The sequence below is a fragment of the Homo sapiens genome, chromosome 9 (assembly GCF_000001405.40).
Source record: "Homo sapiens chromosome 9, GRCh38.p14 Primary Assembly".
Taxonomy (NCBI): Eukaryota; Metazoa; Chordata; class Mammalia; order Primates; family Hominidae; genus Homo; species Homo sapiens.
Window position 1 is genome coordinate 72696431 of NC_000009.12, and position 24497 is coordinate 72720927.

At 38.8% G+C, this 24497-nt stretch overlaps 1 protein-coding gene across 2 annotated transcripts in view, besides 1 other annotated feature; it reads left to right on the forward strand.

The window, feature by feature from the left end:
* TMC1 (transmembrane channel like 1) overlaps window positions 1-24497 on the forward strand; it is a 316690-nt gene that overhangs the window by 174823 nt on the left and 117370 nt on the right. For both annotated transcript variants that reach the window (NM_138691.3, XM_017014256.2), the window contains one exon: window positions 4088-4213. In NM_138691.3, coding sequence (NP_619636.2) covers window positions 4088-4213 — 126 coding nt within the window. The remainder of the gene's footprint in view (window positions 1-4087; window positions 4214-24497) is intronic.
* Window positions 7345-7464: an enhancer, noted in NCBI's record as "active region_28463". NCBI's record gives its function as "activates an Ori minimal core promoter by ATAC-STARR-seq in GM12878 lymphoblastoid cells {active_cell/tissue: GM12878}" and the evidence as "EXISTENCE:reporter gene assay evidence [ECO:0000049][PMID:35858748]".

The window sequence follows — 24497 nt, forward strand, 5'->3', positions numbered from 1 at the left end:
TCTGTTCTCTATTTTAGAGTCTATTTTCTATTGTTCATTTTGAAGATAAACATCTTTTTTTTAAAAGAAAATCTTAGATAATATTTTTGAGAAAGATTAGTAGCCAAATCAGGGCACATTTATGTAGGTTAATTAATTCAGGGTATTTTTTATTTAACTATTCAAGTAATGCCTCAGGGAATTTCCCTTGCATTGACACAACATTTGAAACCAACTAAAACCAAGGTTGTAATGCTAACTATCTTTGGAGGCAGTTAAAAAAACACTGCCTTGTTAGACATTTTGGAGTATTTCCAGTAATATTACAGGCTTTTCCTGACCCAGTTTTAAGTGGATAAGTAATATATTCATAGCAGTGAGAAATTCAGCATATTATGCCTTCTTCTTCCTAACAACTGTTGTTTAAATATATCAAACTTAAGATAGAAAACCATTCTTGCACAGATTAGCCTGAAAATTTAGATGAGGCATGCCTATGCCTTTTAATATGATTAGCCCTTTCTTTGAGTGATTCTAGAAAAGCAGGTTTCCTGTAATGCTGATTAGAAAAGTATTTTAATTACCTTCATATTTGAGGGTAACTTATGTGTCAACAACTGTACCCTGTAACACAGCCTGATCCTCCTGGTGAAATAAACAATTAACAACAGAGACTTAAAAGATATACCAATCTGGGGTCATTTAGTACAGGAATAAACGTCTTTCCATACCATAATAATCTCAGAGGTAGTTGTTATATTTTAGTGTACTTTGAGCACTGGGTTTATGATGATAACCCTGAGCAATCCAGAAAAGTTTTGTATACATATGTTCATTCAATAAGTTATTTACCCAGCTCTACTTTTGTGCAACCTAATTTGCTTATATCTTTGGGATACTTGGATATGAACATGTAATTGCCCACAATCTTGCAATCTTCAAAAGTCCATAATATAGTAAGGGATAGGCCACTTAGATACAAATTATTATGACATAAGAAAGTATATGTGTCCCAGAGAAATACAAACAAAGTAGCTTGGAGTCTCAGAGAAGTGAAAACTGTTCTCACAGGGATAGTTAGAAAAGGGATTCTTAAAGACATTTCATATGATTTTTAAAGGACTTGAAATTTGGACAAGCTGAACTTATAAACTATTTAATTAGTATTAGAATTGTTTCTATTAAAGGGTCTCTGAAAGTTGGCCTGTAGGTTTAGTTACCTGGCAAATCCACACATCAAATAGATAATTCTTTCATTCTTTGGTGATGTTGGATTAGAGATGCTGTTTTACATGTGATTCTTAATGGAAGTTCAGTAGTGTAAAGCTTTAAGGTAATTATATGTAAATATCATGAATTATTTTGAAATGGTTGGCAAGTTAAAGGCTTAACATATCAAGCAATTAAATTATTAATCATAAAGATTTTTTCTAATTGACTTTATTACTGATAATTTCTTGCCATCTGTTTTATTTTATTTTTGCTAGTTTCTGAAAATATTTCAATAAAACTGCTATCTATGTAATTTAAAGTTATTCCTATGTTTGCATGGAAACAATTGTGATCATTTTAATTAAAACACATCTTTACCTCCTAAGACAAACTAACCCACATATCATTCTAATTGGCAAATTAAAAAAAAAAATTGTGGATATAGATAGAGTAAAAAAAATCCTGAAATATTTTATGCCATGGCTACACAGCATCATAGGCTTTTATATGATAAACACCAAATAATGAAAATAGAAACAACCCAATGGCTATCAGAGATGTATCTTAGAAGAGTGTACTTCCCTGGTTCTCTTGAACCAAAATGATTATTCTAAGCAAAATGTTTGAATTGTCCAAAAAACAAACTGTCAATAGGAAGTGTTATTTTAAAGGGTTAATATGAATTTTTGTTTCAGTAATCATAGCATGATTAAAAACTATAAATTGGTGGCAAATAAAGGAGATTGAAAGTCATTTTGTAAGGTGAACTATAAAACTGTGGATATGTCCTTTTCCTCAACTAGAACTTTAAAAAGCAGCTTTTGCCTTATTTCTACTGTATCTAGTCATAAATTATTTTTCTGAGTAATACTGAATTGGATTACAATTTTTGTTATTGGTCAATATCTAGTGAGGGGAGAAACTTCAACAGTTAATTGAACAGAGAGAATTTAATAAGTGAATTGTTAGGAGGTATAAATGTTAATTAGACTGCAGAAAAGGTAAAAAGAGAACACTAAAGTATCATAGTGACGGTAACTACTGGAAGCAGCTACCATCCCAAGGGCTGGAGGAACAATGGAAAGGGTTGAAACGAAAACACTGTAGCGTAGAGGAAAGACCCTAGGAGCTAAAACTCAGGCCTCTGCAGAGGGGCTGATGCTCTGTGGTGCTGGTTTCTGTGGGAGAGGTGATGAAGCTGGTTCTGCTAGTGTTGGTAATATTGGTGATAAGGATTCACTTGCAGTATGGCAAGGACGCTCAGCTCCAGGAGTGAAGAAGAGATGCTAAGGAGGAAGTGTCACCCCACAAAGCAAATATGAAGCAGAGAGGAAGCCACAGGAAAGACGGAGACCCTCTTCAGTATCCCCTATTGTCAGAGTATATATTGACCCAGCTAACAAAGCAGAAATATGACTCACAAAATACCAGCCCCAGCACCACAATATTAAAGTGTAGGAGGGTGTGTTTGAAGTTGGGACAATAGCTTAAAAACTGAAATAATCTATTACCAAAAAGCTGATCTCTACAATGTGGTATTGCATGCCTCGATTTAAAATTATGTTGCTCTTGTTTAGATTTTGTTTCCTTTGAGTTCTGGACCGCATAGTGTTTTCGTAATACTAGGAACACAGAAAAGAAAAGCTACATCTCATGCTCAGTAGGAACTAAATTCCTTTGAAGATCTCTTCAAAGGATTCACTTCCACCAAATATATTTCAAGGTGAATTTTACCAAATGAAGTTATAAGTTTAATTAACAGATAACATTAAGTTACCTTTGAGAAATAGATTTTTATTTTTCCCGATTTCAATTTTTCTTTCTTTCTTTCTCTTGAGACAGGGCTAACAAAATTTTTAAGGGCAAAGACATCTTCACCCCTAATTTATTATCCTTATTGAGAAATAAAATATTTAAACGAAATGTAGAATTGAGGGAAGGTATTCAAGGGAACAAAGAAGAGAGGGAAATATCTTGATATATCTGTAATTATTCTTTCCACAGATTTTCTGGTTCAGAGAGTTTGAGGCTCTAGACATAAAAGAATTGCTTAGGGCGGGTGCGGTGGCTCACACCTGTAATCCCAGCACATTGGGAGGCCGGGGAGGGTGGATCACCTGAGGTCAGAAGTTCAAGACCAGCCTGGCCAACGTGGTGAAACTCTGTCTCTAATAAAAATACAAAAATTAGCCGGGCAAGATGGCAGATGCCTGTAATCCCAGCTACTGGGGAGCCTGAGGCAGGAGAATTGCTTGAACCTGAGAGGTGGAGGTTGCAGTGAGCCGAGATTGTCCCACTGCACTCCAGCCTGGGCAACAGAACGAGACTCTGTCTCAAAAAAAAAAAAAAAAAAAAAAAAGCCCGGCTTATGCCTGTAATCCCAGCACTTTGGGAGGCCGAGGTGGGCAGATCACCTGAGGTCAGGAGTTCGAGACCAGCCTGGCCAAGATGGTGAAACCCCCATCTCTATTAAAAATATAAAAATTAGCTGGGCTAGGTGGTGGGCGCCTGTAATCCCAGCTACTCGGGAGGCTGAGGTAGATTGCTTGAACCTGGGAGGCAGAGGTTGCAGTGAGCCAAGATCGCACCATTGCACTACAGCCTGGGTGACAAGAGCAAAACTCCATCTCAAAAAAAAAAAAAGAAAAGAAAAGAAAAAAACAGAATGGCTTAGATTCAGATTCAGGAAGGCAAACACTACTGCTTAAAGTTATAATAGTTCCAGTAATCCTGCATCAGTGTTCAGATTTGAGTTCTCATGCTTATGGGTCCTAATGTTGACTGCATATGGTTACATTTAAAAAAAATGAGCTAAATATCTGATACCTGCCTTCCTTAAGTTCCAAAGTCAAGCAAAGCTTAACTTTATTAAGGTGTTTCTTTTTTACTTTTAAAGAGAAGAAGAAGAAATTGATGAAGAGGAATTGGAAAGATTGAAGGCAGAGTTAGATGAGAAAAGACAAATAATTGCTACTGTCAAATGCAAACCATGGAAGATGGAGAAGAAAATTGAAGTTCTCAAGTATGGTGCCACTTTTTATAAGTAGAAACACTTTCCCTGATATTGATTTTCTAAATCCTCTGAATATTCCATATATATATATATATATATATATATATATACACACACACACACACATACACACACACACACACACATACACTGTATATATAGTATATGTAATACTATATATATCATTTATATATGACTCATTATATATAATGGTCACAGTCATAAACATGTATATCATATTTCTGCATATATACCCAAATATATGTATATTTACATATATCTGTTTCTTATCACTAGAGAGACTGGGCTAATGATTATAAATTGGAAGCAACTCTGAGAAATTATTTAGAGTCTTTTAAATTCTTTGGTCATCTTTAATCATTTGTTCCTTAAACTGGAGTTTCCTTAGCTTAATACATTTGTTACCATCTCTTTGAAAGAGATAATATATTTGAATTTTACAAGTTTGTGTGGATTGTGCACTCTTGTTTCTCTTCAGGGCCCTGGTCTCAAATGAACTTTTCATGTGACAGCTTACATTAAAGCACAGAGAAGATGCTAGGCCAACAGAATAGTAAATAGGATTCCAATTAAAGGTTATGCTAATAGCTATTCCCCGAACATGTCAGTGACCCAATTTCAGTCTTATGTTGATGCTAATGTGGACGCGAACGCAGTCAGAGCACACAGATTTATAAACTCTTCATATGAAAAGTCAAATGATTATCCTATTCTGGGGGATGGGAAGATTCACCCCTGAGGATCACACTATATTTCCCTGCCCTGGTGGTTGGGAGAGGAGGAAAGGGCAGGGAAAAGGGAAACTGTTTGTGATAACAGCCATGTTTGCATCTCCTAGTTTTGCCAAAGATTGCATTCTTCCATAAATCATTTTTATAAATAGTAGTAAGTTTTAAAAACTATCCCTTCACAAGCCTATTTAACTAGTAATGCTGTAAAAATGATAGTATAGTATTATTGTCTCTGATGATGAAAACAAGAACTGAAATAGCTATCAGGATAATTCACTTCTAGTCTTGGTTCTGCAAGAGCTTGTGTGCTATTTAAAGGTATCGCTTAATCTCCTGAAGCCTTAGTTACCTCATATCCAAAATAAAGAAAGATATTCTATATCTTCTCTGTGCGCTTGAAGCGTAGCCATCATTTATAGTATTTTTGTTTTGTTTTGTAGAGTAAGGTTTTCCAAGTTCTAAACAATGGTTTTCCCAGAAAACTTTTGCAACACCACAAAATTGCAGTCTGGGAACTCCCTTTGCATGCTCATGTACACATCCATCATAAATGAAGGCAAAGGCAAGCAGCATCCTACGTTCCACAGAGCTACAAATTTTGTGTATGCATGCTCATGTGTCTGTACATTAAAATAATTTTCATTTAGCGAAGTGATAATGATGCTAAATTATAGGTTTTAAAAATATTCTTACCTGGCAAAATAGAAGTTTGGCAACCCTATGTGGGCCTCTCAAATATATTTGAAATATTAATGACCCATAAAGTCCCCAAACTTGGGAACTTCAGATAACTATATATAGAAAGTTTAAAATTGGAGCAATATTGTGAACTTCCAAAATATATGATTGAATAAAAATTCCAAGGACTACCTTTCCTTTCCAACTGCATGGAGGTGTAGAAATACCCCCCTGGTCTTTGCCCGTATCTCTCGTGCAGGATCGTGGAGGAGACAGCAGCTTCAGATTTGAGTTAGGATCTCAGATCTTCCATTTAATAGCTGTGCACATTTGATCGAGTTGTGTAGTCTCTCTACACAACTCAGGTTCCTTATGAAATTGTACCTTATTGACAGAGTTTTTGGAATTATAAAATGAGATAATTTATGTAAAACATGTTGCCAGAACTTGGCACATAGCTGGGAAACCTAAGTTGTAGTTATTACTTCATCTCAGAACAGACTTGATGCCCAATTCCTGAAGGGTGACAAGAGAGATGGAGAGAATTTGGGACCTGGCAAGTCTAGGTGGGAGCAGACCTAGTCACAATCAGACCCCAGAAGCCTTGTGGGATGGTGACACATTGGTACCAGTTTGGATAAACAATAAGATTTTGAGGATGCAACAGAAGGAAGTAAGGCATTTGACAATTTAGCAAAATCCAGGACCAGACCGTTCTCAGATCTTCTAAAACATAGCCATAGTTCTGTGGCAGATTTCAAGGTCTCAGGCCTTGGTCTGGAGTCCAAGAGTTAAGCAAATTTTAGCAATGGGGAGAGATAGGCATTAGCATTGGAAAGAAGGACAATACGAGCCCTTAGTACGAAAGCAGACACTGACAATAAGGAGACCGCACCTGACTCTAATCTAGACATAGGTTTTTTTATTTGGCCCACATGTGTTTTGTTTCTTTTTCTTTTATTTTTTTTAACCGTGGCAATATATACAATACAAAATTCACCATTTTAACCATGAAATCGATTTTCTTTATCATAATTTTTTTCAATATTTTTAAAAATTTAAATTACTTTTTTTTTCTCGAGACAGGGTCTTAACTCTGTTGCCCATGCTGGAGTGCAGTGGTGCTATCTTAGCTCACTGCAGCCTCAATCTCCTGGGAGCAAGGGATCCTTCTGCCTCAGTCTACCACGTACCTGGGACTATATGTGCACACTACCATGTTTGGCTAATTTTTTCTTTTTGTGTAGGGATGGGGTCTTACTATGTCGCCCAGGCTGATCTCGAACTCCTGGCCTCAAGCCATCTTCCTACCTCAGCCTCCCAAAGTGCTGAGATTATAGGCATGAGCCACTGCACCCAGCCTCAATCTTTTAAAAGTGGGAGTAAAATATTCAGATGTTCAGCTTTTCATGAACAAGTGGAAGATTTGGTCCTACATTCTTCCATCACAGTAACAGCTAGGACTAAGCACCTGGCCTCTATTAATGGGGCATTCCTTTTTCAATTTGCACCATTCTCAAACAATCCATATTACTTGTTTATGCTGCTTGGCTGGACCCTGTAGACATTCAGATTTGCTGCCTCCTACCAGTGCAGCTGGGGAACAAGCTAGGCATGTTACCAAGACGGTGATTCAGATCTTCAAAGCCAAAGTCAGCTCACAGAATGGAAGCACAAATTTAGTCCCAGAAAAGAAACAACTGTGGCTTCTCACATGTCAGCAAGGCTCACAGTCTGGTGATGATTTTCCATGGCCAGAAGTGGTTTCTGCCTTGTGGCCGCACCTATGGGTTCCAGCTGGTGCCATGGCCGGGGCCAGCCTAATTCTTTTGGTTTCAGTCTCCGTGATGAAGTTGTTGGTACTTAAGTGCCTGACTTATCTCTCTTTGAATGCTCTATTGAGCTTTTTTTGAATGTTCTATTGAGCTTCTCCCCACCAGATTCCAACTACATTATTAGAACAAGTGGTCAGTACTTCACAGAACGTGCAGGTAAATGTTTCTCTACCCCAATGCCACCAATGCTTGGGAGTGAGGCAGCTTTCCCTCTACCCTTTATTTCTTTCAGAGACATCTAACTTTGAGAGCGTGTTTCTAAGGATTATGTTATTAATATTCCCCAAATTAGCCTGCATCATCGCTCCTGGCTAAGTCTGTGAAACCCAAGATACTAAGCTCAGTGTAACTGAAAGAGATGTTTTGATCACAGCTTTGAATCTGTGCCTGGGTTCGAAGCCTTCTTGTTCTGGACTTGGAGAAAGTTTTGAAACTTCTAAAAGATATTTTAGACAGTGTCAGGGTTTTAAGATATATTTTAGAGTAAGCCTCAGGAATGGCAACTTATGGTTCTGAGGGTGTTATGGGAGACTCAGAGATAGTTCCCACATTTTTAAAGAGCATCTACCATTAGGAACCCGAGCACACTCAGGGCTTAGGATCAAAAGATGGTTAATATAAGTGGTTGCTACATAGGCAGGCAGCTCTAGGAATTGGTTGTGAATCCATATTAATCCTCAAACATGGCTCAGGAGCTAGAGTTCAGCATTTTCAAGATAGCAGAATTGGCTCTATACAGCTGAAAGGAAGCCATCTCCTTTTCATCATCACTGTGGAAATTGTGATTTTCATTCTATGTTTTATTGTATATCAATACAATTTCACACATTCCTGTAGCCTTAAACCTACTGAATGATAATCTCTTGGTGGAAAGGCAGGTGTGTCTGGCCCAGACCAGAAATGTATATTTTTATTTTTTGATCTAAAAATTACTGATATATAGTCAGAATGAAAGCTGCTGTTTTCAATTCTGAGAGACAGAAAGCTCCACTAAACAGAATACTCAGCTCTACAGATGATTTATACAATGAGGAAGAGTGTGTGTAGGGAGTTGGAGGGGGGTAAGGGAAACAGTGTCATATTTTCCAATTATTTGAAAGTCAATTTCTATATTTTATTAATCACATCATTTAAAAATATCCATTAATGAGAATACTAAGTATAATCTGTTTTTAAGCTGTTCATGGGTTTAATTCAGAGGCTGTATGACTAGATCTTTCCTACCTATAAGAGGTCGCAGCACTTACCTGATAGCAGCCACCACAAGTGAAATAAAATACCCAGGTAGAAAGTAACAGGTCTACTTATTACTTGTCTTGAAACCTAAGACTTTTAACTGTATCAGAACATTATATGTGGTAGATTGAAAGTGCTCATGACTAAACCTAAATAAGCAACCACCTTATTTTGTTACAGTAGAATAGGTTTTAGACTGAAAATTGAGACTTGGACTTTGAGCTAAGTGCTTCCTATAACTTCTCTTTGAACCTCCATTTATTCATTTATAAAACAGATAAATTGGATTGTGGACCATGGTCTTCAAACTGCTATCCTCCAAAGTCAAGCAGTTTGGTGAAATCAAATCAGGGCAAAGGAGGCAGAGGTCGCAGGGAGAGCTACTGGGCCACAATGCCGGCTTCAAAAACAGACCTATGGTTTCTCTCTTCTACACAGTGTACTTCCATATAAAGCATTGATTGGAAGAAAGAATGCTTCTGTGGCTATTAAAATAAAAAACAGTTTTAAAAACCCACTTAGCTGGATATTTAAAGAAACTTATTTTGGAGAAGGGACAGTTCTAACATTTCATGAGTCTACAAATTAGGATACAGAAACACTCCAAGTATACTTTTGCAGGGAATTGGCTTTTGGATAGACACCATTTTAAAATGATTTATTTTGATAACAAAAATGTTTATTTAGCTATTATACTGACTACTTTAATTTCTGAGCTTTGTAGTACCCTGACCTATTGTTTCTGGGAGTTGTCCATTGGCTGGCTAGGCCTGGTGATTTATTAATGAGACACCCAGTAAAGCCAGGAAAGTTATCCTCAGATTTCATTCACACTTAAACAGGTGCTTCAAACTGTCAGCTGGCCATTAAGGTAACATTCCTCCTTACTCAATCTCCCTTGATCTTTTCACACTTCTTTTCATTTGTTTGTTTGTTTTTTATTTTGTTTTATTTTTTAGTTGGGAGAATGAATACATTTTTAGGAAAGTGAAAACAGACCATGGTTGATTTCCTCTAATGGAGCTGTTGGGAAAACTTTGGGAAAACTATTTATTTGGCTTCCATTCTCACCCTTTCTCTCCTGTTTTCTTGTAGCTTAAGATTTTCACAGGCAAGAATCATGGTTTATACTTTAGTTTTTCTCTCATCTGTCATTGTGAAGGAATAAAAGATGCTATACAAGAGGACATTTAAGCGTGTGAACACACCCACCAACATACCCTCAAACCATTCTGGATTATTTTCTTTTTTAAATTTTATATTTCCATAAGTTTTTGGGGAACAGGTGGTATTTGGTTAAATGAGTAAGTTCTTGGGGAACAGGTGGTATTTGGTTACATGAGTAAGTTCTTCTGTGATGATTTATTAGATTTTGGTGCACCCATCACCTGAGCAGTATACACTGAACCCAATTTGTAGTCTTTTATCCCTCATCCCAATCCCACCCTTTCCCCAGAGTCCCCAAAGACCACTGTATCATTCTTATGCATTTCCGTCCTCATAGCTTAGCTTCCACTTACGAATGAGAACATATGATATTTGGTTTTCCATTCCTGAATTACTTCACTTAGAATAATAGTCTCCAGTTGTATCCAGGTTGCTGTGAATGCCAATATTTCTTTCTTTTTCTTTTTCTTTCTTTCTTTTTTTTTTTTTTGAGATGGGATCTTGCTCTGTCACCCAGGCTGTAGTGCAGTGGCGTGATCTCGGCTCACTGCAACCTTTACCTGCCAGGTTCAAGCGATTTTCCTGCCTCAGCCTCCTGAGTAGCTGGGATTACAGGCATGTGCCACAACACCCAGCTAATTTTTGTATTTTTAGTAGAGATGGGGTTTTGCCATGTTGGCCAGGCTGGTCTTGAACTCCTGACTTCGGGTGATCTGCCCACCTTGGCCTCCCAAAGTGCTGGGATTACAGGCGTAAGCCACCATGCCAGGCCCAAATGCCAATATTTCACTCCTTTTTATGGCTGAGTAGTATTCCATCATGTATATATACCACAATTTCTTTATCCATTCATTGACTGATGGACATTTGGTCTGGATTCATATTTCTGCAATTGTGAATTCTGCTGCTATAAACATGCATGTGTAAGTATCCTTTTTGTTTAATGACTTCTTTTCCTCTGGGTAGATACCCTGTAGTGGGATTGCTGGGTCAAATGGTAGTTCTACTTTTAGTTCTTTAAGGAATCTCCACCCTGTTTTCCATATTGGTTGTACTAGTTTACATTCCCACCAGCAGTGTAGAAGTGTTCCCTTTTCACCACATCCATGCCAACATCTATTATTTTTTGATGTTTTGATTATGGCCATTCTTGCAGGTGTAAGGTGGTATTACATTGTGGTTTTGATTTCCATTTTCCTGATCATTAGTGATGTTGAGCATTTTTTCATAAGTTTTTTGGTCGTTTGTATATCTTCTTTTGAAAATTGTCTATTCATGACCTTAGCCCACTTTTTGATAGGACTGTTTGTATTTTTCTTGCTAATTTGTTTGAGTTCTTTGTAGATTCTGGATATTAGTCTTTGTCAGATGTAGAGATTGTGAAGACCTTCTCCCTCTCTGTGGGTTGTCTGTTTACTCTGCTGACTGTTCCCTTTGCTGTGCAGAAGCTCTTTAGTTTAATTAAGTCCCACTTATTTATCTTTGTTTTTGTTGCATTTGCTTTGGGGTTCTTGGTCATGAAGTCTTTGCCTAAGCCAATGTCTAGAAGGTTTTTTCTGATGTTATCTTCCAGAATTTTTATAGTTTCAAGTCTTAGATTTAAGTCCTTGATCCATTTTGAGTTGATTTTTGTATAAGGTGAGAGATGAAGATCCAGTTTTATTCTCCTGCATGTGGCTAGCCAATTATCCCAGCAACATTTGTTGAATGAATAGGGTGTCTTTTCCCCACATTATGTTTTTGTTTGCTTTGTCAAAGATCAGTTGGCTGTAAGTATTTGGATTTATTTCTGGGTTCTCTATTCTATTCCATTGGTCTATGTGCCTATTTTTATACCAGTAGCCTGCTGTTTTGGTGACCATAGCCTTATAGTATAGTTTGAAGGAAGGTAATTGGATGCTTCCAGATTTGTTCTTTTTGCTTAGTCTTGATTTGGCTATGTGGCCTCTTTTTTGGCTCCATATGAATTTTAGAATTTTTTTTCTAGTTCTATGAAGAATGATGGTGGTATTTTGATGAGAATTGCATTGAATTTGTAGATTACTTTAGGTAGTATGGTCATTTTCACAATAGTGATTCTACCCAACCACATTAGCATGGATGTATTTCCATTTGTTTGTGTCATCTGTGATTTATTTCAGCCATGTTTTGTAGTTTTCCTTGTAGAAGTATTTCACCTCCTTGGTTAGGTATAATCCCAAGTACTTTTTTTTTTTTCCTGTGGCTATTGTAAAAGGGGTTGAATAGTTGATTTGATTCTCAGCTTGGTCACTGTTGGTAAACAGCAGAGCTACTGATTTGTGTACATTAATTTTGTATCCTGAAACTTTGCTGAATTCATTTATTAGTTCCAGGAGCTTTTTGGAGGAGTCTTCAGGGTTTTCTGGGTATATGATCACATCATCAGCAAACAGTGACAGTTTCACCTCTTTACCAATCTGGATGCCCTTTATTTCTTTCTCGTGTCTGATTGGTCTGGCTAGTACTATGTTGAATAGTAGTGAGAGTGGGCATCCTCGTCTTGTTCCAGTTCTCAGAGGGAATGCTTTCAACTATTCCCTGTTCAGTATTATGTTGGCTGTATGTTTGTCATAGATGGCTTTTATTACATTGAGGTACGTCCCTTGTATGCCGATTTTGCTGAGGGTTTTAATCAAAATGGGATGCTGGTTTTTGTCAAATGCTTTTTCTGTGTCTATTTTTTTTTCGGGGGGGTGGGTGTTTAAGAGCAGAAAGTTTAATAGGCAAAAGAAAGAAGAGAAAACCACCCCCATGCAGAGGGAGGGGGATCCTCTCTTGCTGCATCTATTGAGATGATCATGTCATTTCTGTTTTAATTCTGTTTATGTGTTGTGTCACATTTATTTACAAGTGTATGTCAAACTATCCCTGCATCCATGGTATGAAATTCACTTGATCATAGTGGATTATCTTTTTGATATGGTGTTGGATTTGGTTAGCTAGTATTTTGTTAAGGATTTTTGCATCTATGTTCATCAGGGATATTGGTCTGTGGTTTTCTTTTTTTGTTTTGTTCTTTCCTGGTTTTGGTATTAGGGTGATACTGGTTTCATAGAATGATTTAGGGAGTACTCCCTCTTTCTCTTTCTTGTGGAATAGTGTCAATAGGATTGAATGTCTGATAGAATTCAGCTGTGAATCTGTCTGGTCCTGGACTTTTTTTTGTTGGTAATTTTTAAATTACTATTTCAATTTCATTGCTTGTTATTGGTCTGTTCAGGGTTTCTAATTCTGATTCTAGCTAAATCCTCCTGATTTAAGCTAGGAGGATTGTATCTTTGCAGGAATTTATTCATCTCTTCTAGGTTTTCTAGTTTATGTGCATAAAGGTGTTCATAGTAGCCTTGAGTGATCTTTTGTATTTCTGTGGTGTTGGCTGTAATATCTCCTATTTCATGTCTAATAGAGCTTATTTGGATCTTCTCTCTTCTTTGCTTCATTAATCTTGCTAATCGTCTATCAATTTTATTTATCTTTTCGAAGAACCAGCTTTTTGTTCAATTTATCTTTTGTATTTTTGTTGTTGTTTCAATTTCATTTAGTTCTGCTCTGATCTTTGTTATTTCTTTTCTTCTACTATTTGGGTTTGGTTTGTTTTTCTAGTTCCTTGAGGTGTTACCTTAGGTTGTCTATTTGTGCTCTTTCAGACTTTTTGGTGTAGGCATTTAATGCTATGAACTTTTAGCACCACCTTTGATGTATCCCAGCAGTTTTGATAGGTTGTGTCACTATTATTGTTCAGTTCAAAGAATTTTTTCATTTCCATCTTGATTTCATTGTTGACCCAACAATCATTCAGGAGCATGTACTTTAATTTCCATGTATTTGCATGGATTGGAGGATTTCTTTTGATTTCCAATTTTATTCCACTGTGGTCTAAGAGAGTACTTGATACAATTTCAGTTTTCTTAAATTTATTGAAACTTGTTTTCTGGCCTGTCATATGGTTTATCTTGGAGAAAGTTCCATGCACTGATGAATGGAATGTATACTCTGTGGTTGTTGGGTAGAATATTCTGTAAATATCTGTTGGGTCCATTTGTTCTAGGTATAGTTTTAATCCATTGTTTCTTTGTTGACTTTCTGTCTTGATGACCTGTCTAGTGCTGTCAGTGGAGTATTGAAGTCCCCCACTATTATTGTGTTGCTGTCTATCTCATTTCTGAGGTCTAGTAGTAATTGTTTTATAAATTTGGGAGCTCCAGTGTTAGGTGCATATTTATTTAGGATTATGTTTTCCTGTTGAACAAAGCCTTTTATCATGATTTAGTGTCCCTCTTTGTATTTTTTAACTGCTGTTGCTTTAAAGTTTGTTTTGTCTGATATAAGAATAGCTACTCCTGGTCACTTTTGGTGTCCATTTGCATGGAATGTAATTTTCCACCCTTTTACCTCAACTTTATGTGAGTCCTTATGTGTTAGTTGAGTCTCTTGAAGACAGCAGATACTTAGTTGGTGAATACTTTTTTTTTAAATTATACTTTACATTCTGGGGTACATGTGTGGAATGTGCAGGTTTGTTACATAGGTATACACATGCCATGGTGGTTTGCTGCACCTGTCAACCCGTCATCCACATTGGGTATTTCTCCTAATGCTGTCCCTCCCTTAGCTCCGCATCCCCAAACAGGCCACAGTGTGTGTACATGTGTTCTCATTGTTCAACTCCCACTTATGAGTGAGAACATGTGGTGTTTAGTTTTCTGTTCTTGTGTTAGTTTGCTGAGAATGATGGTTTTCAGCTTCATCCGTGTCCCTGCAAAAGACATTAACTCATCCTTTTTTATGGCTGCATAGTATTCCATGGTGTATATGTGCCACATTTTCTTTATCTAGTCTATCATTGATGGGCATTTGGGTTGGTTCCAAGTCTTTGCTATTATGAATAGTGCTGCAGTAAACATACGTGTGCATGTGTCTTTACAGTAAAATGATTTATAATCCTTTGGGTATATACCCAGTAATGGGATGGCTGGGTCAAATGGTATTTCTAGTTTCAGATCCTTGAGGAATTGCCACACTGTCTTCCACAATGGTTGAACTGCTTTAGACTCCCACCAACAGTGTAAAAGCATTCCTATTTCTCCACATCCTCTCCAGCACCTGTTGTTTCCTGACTTTTTAATGATCACCATTCTAACTGGCGTGAGATGGTATCTCATTGTGGTTTTGATTTGCATTTCTCTAATAACCAGTGATGATGAGCCTTTTTTTCATATGTTGGTTGGCTGAATAAATGTCTTCTTTTGAGAAATGTCTGTTCATGTCCTTTGCCCACTTTTTGATGGGGTTGTTTGATATTTCTTGTAAATTTGTTTAAGTTCTTTGTAGATTCTGGATATTAGCCCTTTGTCAGATGGATAGATTGCAAATATTTTCTCCCATTCTGTAGATTGCCTGTCCAATCTGATAATAGTTTCTTTTCCTGTGCAGAAGCTCTTCAGTGTAATTAGATCCCATTTGTAAATTTTGGCTTTTGTTGCCATTGCTTTTGGTGTTTTAGTCATGAAGTCTTTGCCCATGCCTATGTCCTGAATGGTATTGCCTAGGTTTTCTTCTAGGGTTTTTACGGTTTTAGGTTTTAGGTTTAAGTCTTTAATACATCTTGAGTTAATTTTTGTATAAGGTGTAAGGAAGGAATCCAGTTTCAGCTTTCTGCATATGGCTAGCCAGTTTTCCCAACACCATTTATTGAATAGGGAATCCTTTCCCCATTGTTTGTTTTTGTCAGGTTTGTCAAAGATCAGATGGTTGTAGATGTATGGCGTTATTTCTGAGGCCTCTGTTCTGTTCCATTGGCCTATATATCTGTTTTGGTACCAGTACCATGCTGTTTTTGCTACTGTAGCCTTGTAGTATAAGTTTGAATCAGGTAGTGTGATGCCTCCAGCTTTGTTCTTTATGCTTAGGATTGTCTTGGCTATGCAGGATATTTTTTGGTTCCATATGAAATGTAAAGTAGTTTTTTTCAAGTCTGTGAAGAAAGTCAATGGTAGTTTGATGGGGATAGCATTGAACCTACAAATTACTTTGGGCAGTATAGCCATTTTCACGATATTGATTCTTCCTATCCATGAACATGGAATGTTTTTCCATGTTTGTGTCCTCTCTTATTTCCTTGAGCAGTGGTTTGTAGTTCTCCTTGAAGAGGTCCTTCACATCCCTTGTAAGTTAGATTCCTAGGTATTTTATTCACTTTGTAGCAATTGTGAATGGGAGTTCACTCATGATTTGGCTCTCTGTTTATCTGTTTTTGATGTATAGGAATACTTGTGATTTTTGTACATTGATTTTGTATCCTGAGACTTTGTTGAAGTTGCTAATCAGCTTAAGGAGATTTTGGGCTGAGACAATGGGGTTTTCTAAATATATAATCATGTCATCTGCAAACAGAGACAATGTGACTTCCTCTTTTCCTAACTGAATACCCTTTATTCCTTTCTCTTGCCTGATTGCCCTGGCCAGAACTTCCAATACTATGTTGAATAGGAGTGGTGAGAGAAGACATCCTTGTCTTATGCTGGTTTTCAAAGGGAATGCTTATGCTTCCAGTTTTTGCCCATTCAGTATGATATTGGCTGTGGATTTGTCATAAATAGCTCTTATTATTTTGAGATACATTCCTTCAATACCTAGTTTATTGAGAGTTTTTAGCATGAAGGGCTGTTGAATTTTGTTGAAGGCCTTTTCTGCATCTATTGAGATAATCATGTGGTTTTTGTGATTGGTTCTGTTTATGTGATGGATTACATTTATTGATTCGCATATGTTGAACCAGCCTTGCATCCCCAGGATGAAGCCAGCTTGATCATGTTGGATAAGCTTTTTGATATGCTACTGGATTCAGTTTGCCAGTATTTTATTGAAGATCTTTGCATTGATGTTCATCAGGGATATTGGCCTGAAATTTTCTTTTTTTGTTGTGTCTCTGCCAGGTTTTGCTATTAGGATGATGCTGGCCTCATAAAATAAGTTAAGGAGGATTCCCTCTTTTTATATTGTTTGGAATAGTTTCAGAAGGAATGATACCAGATCCTTTTAGTACTTCTGGTGGAATTCATCTGTGAATTTGTCTGGTCCTGGACTTTTTGGTTGGTAGGCTATTAATTGCTGCCTCAATTTCAGAACTTGTTATTGGTCTAGTCAGGGATTCAACTTCTTCCTGGTTCAGTTTTAGGAGGGTGTATGTGGCTAGAAACTTATCCATTTCTTCTAGATTTTCTAGTTTATTTGCATAGAGGTATTTATAGTATTCTCTGATGGTAGTTTGTATTTCTGTGGGATCGGCGGTGATATACCCTTTATCATTTTTTATTGCATCTACTTGATTTTTCTCTCTTTTCTTCTTTATTAGTCTGGCTAGTTGTTGATCTTTCAAAAAAGCCAGCTCCTGGATTCATTGATTTTTTTTTTTTTTGAAGGGCTTTTTGTATCTCTGTCTCCTTCAGTTCTGCTCTGCTCTTAGTTACTTCTTGCCTTCTGTTAGCTTTTAAATTTTTTTGCTCTTGCTTCTCTAGTTCTTTTAATTGTGATTTTAGGGTGTCGATTTTAGATCTTTCTTTCTTTCTCTTGTGGGCTTTTAGTGCTATAAATTTCCCTCAACATACTGCTTTCAATGTGTCCCAGAGATTCTGGTACATTGTTTCTTTGTTCTCATTGGCTTCAAAGAACATCTTTATTTGTGCCTTAATTTCATTATTTACCCAGTAGTCATTTAGGAACAGGTTGTTCAGTTTCGATGTAGTTGTGAAGTTTTGAGTGAGTTTCTTAATCCTGAGTTCTAATTTGATTGCACTGTGGTCTGAGAGACTGTTATGATTTCCATTCTTTTGCATTTGCTGAGGAGTGTTTTACTTCCAATTACGTGGTCAATTTTAGAATAAGTGCGATGTGGTGCTGAGAAGAGTGTATATTCTGTTTATTTCGGGTGGAGAGTTCTTTAGATATCCATTAGGTCTGCTTGGCCCAGAGCTAAGTTTAAGTCCTGGATATCCTTGTTAATTTTCTGTCTCGTTGATCTGTCTAATATTGACAGTGGGGTGTTAAAGTCTCATGCTATTATTGTGTGAGGGTCTAAGCCTCTTTGTAGGTCTCTAAGGACTTGCTTTATGAATCTGGGTGCTCCTGTATTGGGTGCATATATATTTAGGATAGTTAGCTCTTCTTGTTGCATTGATCCCTTTACCATTATGTAATGCTCTTCTTTGTCTTTTTTTGATGTTTGTTGGTTTAAAGTCTGTTTTGTCGGAGACTAGGATTGGAACCTCTGCTTTTTTTTGCTGTCCATTTGCTTGGTAAATATTCCTCCATCCCTTTATTTTGAGCCTATGTGTGTCTTTGCACGTCAGATGGGTCTCCTGAATACAGCACACCAATGGGTCTTGACTCTTAATCCAATTTGCCAGTCTGTGTCTTTTAATTGGGGCATTTGGCCCATTTACATTTAAGGTTAATATTGTTATGTGTGATTTGATCCTGCCATTATGATGCTGGATGGTTATTTTGCTCATTAGTTGATGCGATTTCTTCATAGCGTTGATGGTCTTTACAATTTAGTATGTTTTTGCAGCGGCTGGTACTAGTTGTTCCTTTCCATGTTTAGTGCTTCCTTCATGAGCTCTTGTAAGGCAGGCCTGGTGGTGACAAAATCTCTCAGCATTTCCTTGTCTGTAAAGGATTTTATTTCTCCTTCACTTATGAAGCTTAGTTTGGCTGGATATGAAATTCTGGGTTGAAAATTATTTTCTTTAAGAATGTTGAATATTGGCACTGTCTTCTGGCTTGTAGGGTTTCTGCAGAGAGATCTACTGTTAGTCTGATGGGCTTCCCTTTGTGGGTAACCCAACCTTTCTCTCTGGCTGCCCTTAATATTTTTTCTTTCATTTCAACCTTGGTAAATCTGATGATTACATGTATTGGGGTTGCTCTTCTTGAGCAGTATCTTTGTGGTGTTCTCTGTATTTCCTGAATTTGAATGTTGGCTTGCCTTGCTAGCTTGGGGAAGTTCTCCTGGATAATATCCTGAAGAATGTTTTCCAACTTGGTTCCATTCTCCCCATCACTTTCAGGTACACCAATCAAACATAGATTTGGTCTTTTCACATGATCCCATATTTCCTGGAGGTTTTGTTCATTTCTTTTCACTGTTTTTTATCTAATCTTGTCTTCTTGCTTTATATCATTGAATTGATCTCCAATCTCTGATAGCCTTTCTTCTGCTTGATCGATTCGGCTATTCATACTCGTGTATGTTTCATGAAGTTCTCGTGCTGTGTTTTTCAGCTCCATCAGGTCATTTATGTCCTCTAAACTGGTTATTTCAGTTAGCAATTTGTCTAACCTTTTTTCAAGGTTCTTAGCTTCTTTTCATTGGGTTAGAACATGGTCCTTTAGCTCGGAGGAGTTTGTTATTACCCACCTTCTAAAGCCTACTTCTGTCAATTCGTCAAACTCATTCTCCATCCAGTTTTGTTCGCTTGCTGGCAAGGAGTTGTGATCCTTTGGAGGAGAAGAGGCATTCTGGTTTTTGGAATGTTCAGCCTTTTCGCACTGGTTTCTCCCCATCTTCGTGGATTTATCTACCTTTGGTCTTTGAAGTTGGTGACCTTCGGCTGGGGTCTCTGAGTGGTCCTTTTTGTTGATGTTGATACTATTCCTTTCTGTTTGTTAGTTTTCCTTCTAACCATCAGGCCCCTCTGCTGCAGGTCTGCTGGAGTTTGCTGGAGGTCCACTCCAGACCCTGTTCACTTGGGTATCACCGGCAGAGGCTGCAGAACAGCAAAGATTGCTACCTGTTCCTTCCTCTGAAAGCTTTGTCCCAGAGGGACATCCACCAGATACCAGCCAGAGCTCTCCTGTATGAGGTGTCTGTCAGCCCCTACTGGGAGGTGTTTCCCAGTCAGTATACCTGGGGGTGAGGGACTCACTTGAGGAGTCACTGTGTCCCTTATCAGAGCTGGAACCCAGTGTTGGGAAATCTGCTGCTCTCTTCAGAGCTGCCACACAGGGCTGTTTAAGTCTGCTGAGGTTGCACCCACAAACTCCCCTTCCCCCAGGTGCTCTGTCCCAGGAAGGTGGGGGTTTTACCTATGAGTCCCTGACTGGGGCTGCTGGCTTTTTTTCAGAGATGCCCTGGCCACAGAGGAGGGAATCTAGAGAGGCAGTTTGGGTGCAGTGTCCTTACTGAGCTGTGGTGAGCTTCGTCCAGTTTGAACTTCCTGGCAACTTTGTGTACACTGTGAGGGTAAAACCCCCTACTCAAGCCTCAGCAATGGCAGACGTCCCTCCCCCCACCAAGCTCGAGCATGCCAGATCGAGCTCAGATTGCTGTGCTGGCAGCGAGAATTTCAAGCCAGTGGATCTTAGCTTGCTGGGCTCCGTGGGAGTGGGACCCACTGAGCCAGACCACTTGGCTCCCTGGCTTCAGCCCCCTTTCCAGGGGCGTGAATGGTTCTGTCTCACTGACATTCCAGGCACCACTGGGGTATGAAAAAACAACTCCTGCGGCTAGCTCTGTGTCTGCCCAAACGGCAGCCCAGTTTTGTGTTGGAAACCCAGCACCAGGGCCCTGGTGGCGTGGGAACTGGAGGGAATCTCCTGGTCTGCAGGTTGTGAAGACCATGGGAAAAGTGCAGTATCTGGGCCGGTGTATGTGGTACAGTCCATAGTGGCTTCCCTTGGCTAGGAGAGGGAGTTCCCTGATCCCTTGCACTTCCTGGGTGAGGCAACGCCCCACCCTACTTTGGCTTGCCCTCCTTGGGCTGCATCCACTGTCCAACCAGTCCCAATGAAATGAACTGGGTACCTCAGTTGGAAATGCAGAAATCACCCACCTTCTGCATCGATCTTGCTGAGAGCTGCAGACTGGAGCTGTTCTTGTTTTGCCATCTTGCCAGCAAATCGGTGAATTGTTATGTATTCTGCAATTCTATATCTTTTAAGTGGAGCATTTAGGCCATCTGCATTCAATGTTAGTATTGAGATGTGAGGTACTATTCTATTCATCATACTATCTGTTGCCTGAATACCTTGGTTTTTTATTTATTTACTTATTTATTGTATTTTTGTTTTAATGGGTCTTGTGAGACTCATGATTTAGAGATTCTGTTTTGATGTGTTTCCATGGTTCGTTTCAATATTTAGAGCTCCTTTCAGCAGTTCTTATAGTGCTGGCTTGGTAGTGGCAAATTCTCTTGGCCTTTGTCTGAAAAAGACTGTATCTTTCCTTCATTTATGAAGCTTAGGATACAAAACTGTTGGCTGATAATTGTTTTGTTTAAGGAGGATAAAAATAGGACCCCAGTCCCCTCTAGCCTGTAGGGTTTCTGCTGAGAAATCTGCTGTTACTCTGATAGATTTTCCTTTATAGGCTACCTGGTGCTTTTGCCTCACAGCTCTTAAGATTTTTCCCTCTGTCTTGACTTTAGATAACCTGATAACTATAGGTTTAGGCAATGATCTTTTTGCAATGAATTTCCCAGGTGTTCGTTGAACTTCTTGTATTTGGATGTCTACATCTCCAGCAAGGCTGAGGAAGTTTTCCTCTATTATTCCCCCAAATATGTTTTCCAAACTTAGATTTCTCTTCTTCCTTAGGGACTCCACTTATTCTTAGGTTTGGTCATTTAACATAATCCCAAACTTCTTGGAGGCTTTATTCATTTTTTAAAATTCTTTTACTTTCCAGTACATTTTGCATTTCTCTGTGTTCTTTACTTCCTGAAGTAGTGATTGTTTTATATTTATGCTATCTATTTCACTGAAGATTTCTCCCCTCATATCTTGTATCATATTTTTTTATTTCCTTAAGTTGGACTTCACCTTTTTCTGGTGCCTCCTTGATTAGCTTACTACTCGACCTTCTGAATTTTTTTTTCTGGCAATTCAGGGATTTCATATTGGTTTGGATCCATTGCTGGTGAGCTATTGTGATTTTTTGATGATGTTAAAGAACATTATTTTGTCATATTACCAGAACTGTGTTTCTGGCTCCTTCTTATTTGGGTAGGCTATTTCAGAGGAAAGATCTGAAGCTCAAGGCTGCTGTTCAGATTCTTTTGTCCCATGGGGTGTTCCCTTGATGTAGTACTCTCCCCCTTTTCTTAGGAATGTGGCTTCCTGAGAGCCAAACTGTAGTGATTGTTATTTGTCTTTTGGATCTAGCCACCCAGTGGAGCTACTGGTCTCTGGGCTGGCACTGGGGGATGTCTGCACAGAGTCCTGTGATGTGAACCATCTTTAGGTCTCTCAGCTGTGGATACCAGCATCTGGTCCAGTGGAGGTGGCAGAGGAGTAAAACAGACTCTGTGAGGTGCCTTAGTTGTAGTTGTTTAATGCACTAGTTTTGTGCTAGTTGGCCTCCTGCCAGGAGGTGGCGCTTTCAAGAGTACGTCAGCTGTGGTAGTATAGGGGAGGATCAGGTGGTGGGTGGGGGCCCTAGAACTCCCAAGAAAATATGAACTTTGTCTTTAGCTACCAGGGTGGGTAGGGAAGGACCATCAGGTGGGAGCAGGGTTAGGTACGAATGACCTCAGACTCTCCTTGTGTGGGGCTTGCTGTGGCTGCTGTGGGGATAGGGGTGTGGTTCTCAGGTCAATGGAGTTATGTTCCCAGGAGGATTATGGCTGCCTCTGCTGTGTCATGCAGGTTGTCAGGAAAGTGGAGAAAGCTGATAGCCTCACCCAGCTCCCATGCAACCCAAAAGGCTGGTCTCATTCCCACTGTGCCCCCTCCAACAGCACTGAGATTGTTTTCAGGCAGTGGGCAAGTAGGGCTGAGAACTTGCCCCAGGTTACCAGCCTCCTGGTTGAGAAAGCAAGCGGGGCTTTTGTGCCACCTCCCTGCCTGTCACCGGATTCACATCCTCCCCCAAGTTCTGGCCAGGAAACTTCACATTTGGTTGGAATCGTTACAGAGTTCAGCTGGAGGTTTCCTTCTCCCTGTGGTCTTTTCCCAGTTCCTCTGGCAGCCCTCCTCAAGGACTCCTGTGAGACAAGTCAGAAATTGCTTCTCTGGGGACCCGGAGAACCCACATGGCTTTTCCTGTGGCTTCTTCTACCCTTGTGTTTCACTCAGCTCTCTAAATTGTCTCAGCTCCAGGTAAGGTCAAATCTTTCTCTTGTGATCTGGACCTTTAGGTTCCCCAGTGAGTGTGTATATTCGGGGCAGGGGATGATCTCCCTTTCCCACTTTTGCAGTTTGGGCACTCACAGTATTTGGGCTGTCTCCCAAGTCCTGCAGGAGCAACCTGTTTCCTTCAAATGGTCTGTGGATTCTCTTGACTTTCCCAGTATATTTCTGCAGCAGTTCTTGGAACAAAAGTTCACAATGCAAGTCTCCACATTCTATTCTATCCATCCAAGTGGGGGCTGCAATTTAGTCCTGACTCCTATCTGCCATTTTTTCCTAGCAGTTCATTCTGGATTATTTTTAACCAATAACTCAACCAAAGCACAGGCCTTCAGTTCTTGTACTTTACAGGTATCTTGAGTATAGCAATTTTTCATCTGCAGAATGGAGAGTATATAGGCAATTAATGCATCTAGATTTTGTCCATCAAAAGGTAACATTGACATCCCATTTTTCTGCTATTTTATAAGTTCATACCAGGTGTCAAGCATTATGCTGTGGGCAAGTTTCTTAGTCTCTACATCCTTGAGTCTCCTTACTATGAATGGAGATAAAAGTACTACTGCATAAAGTTATTGAGATAATTAAATAAGCTCATAGATACAAGCATGTAACATGGTACCTAGCATAATAATTTTCTTTATCCCTCTTAACCCTCCTTCAAGGTAGGTTTTACTATTTTGACTTTACATATAAGGAAACTGAAACTCTGAGAGGATAAATAATTGTCAGACAATTAATAAGTGATAGATCCACAATTTAAGCTTGTTGTGTGGAAACTTACCTTGGTATGATGGAGGTCTCTAAGTACACTACCAAGCAAGCTCTCCCAGAAGTCACAAACCTGAAGTTCACATACCAAATTAAAATGCTCAAATCACATGGCTTAGTAAGCTTATTTAAAGCACAGTGAGAAGTAAGGGGAAAGAGATGGGTTATGGTAAGACATGGGATAAAGTAGCAATATCGTGAGATCATGGGCAACAGGACCACACTTCTGTATCCTGTGTTCTGCAGTGTTCGTGTGCCCTGTCTCTCTCATCCTGCTGATAGTGTGGCTAAGGGGACTGAGGTCCCAATGGGGGCCACATAATAAAGATTACTTGGGCCAATGATAGGTACAAGCTCCATTGGAATGAATGACACAGGACAAGTACGCCTGATCATAGCAGTAGCTTGTGATTAGCCTGCTGAAATTGCAGGAGTTGTGTCTGCATTTCTTGGACAGAGCAGATGCAAGAGGAACAAACTGGATGACACCAATGGCTGGTCAAGTTAGCAGTGACAGGTATCTCAGTCCCAAAGTGTCAGGATAATGATTTGGTCTTTTCATCTCTTTCTAACTGTAATGTTCTTGTTTGTTCATCATATATATTTTTAAAAATTTATTTTCTGTCTTTCTTTGGCAGATATTACAGGTTACTAATTTACCTGCTATCTGTAGTGAACACATCAAACATGCCTATGCATCATATG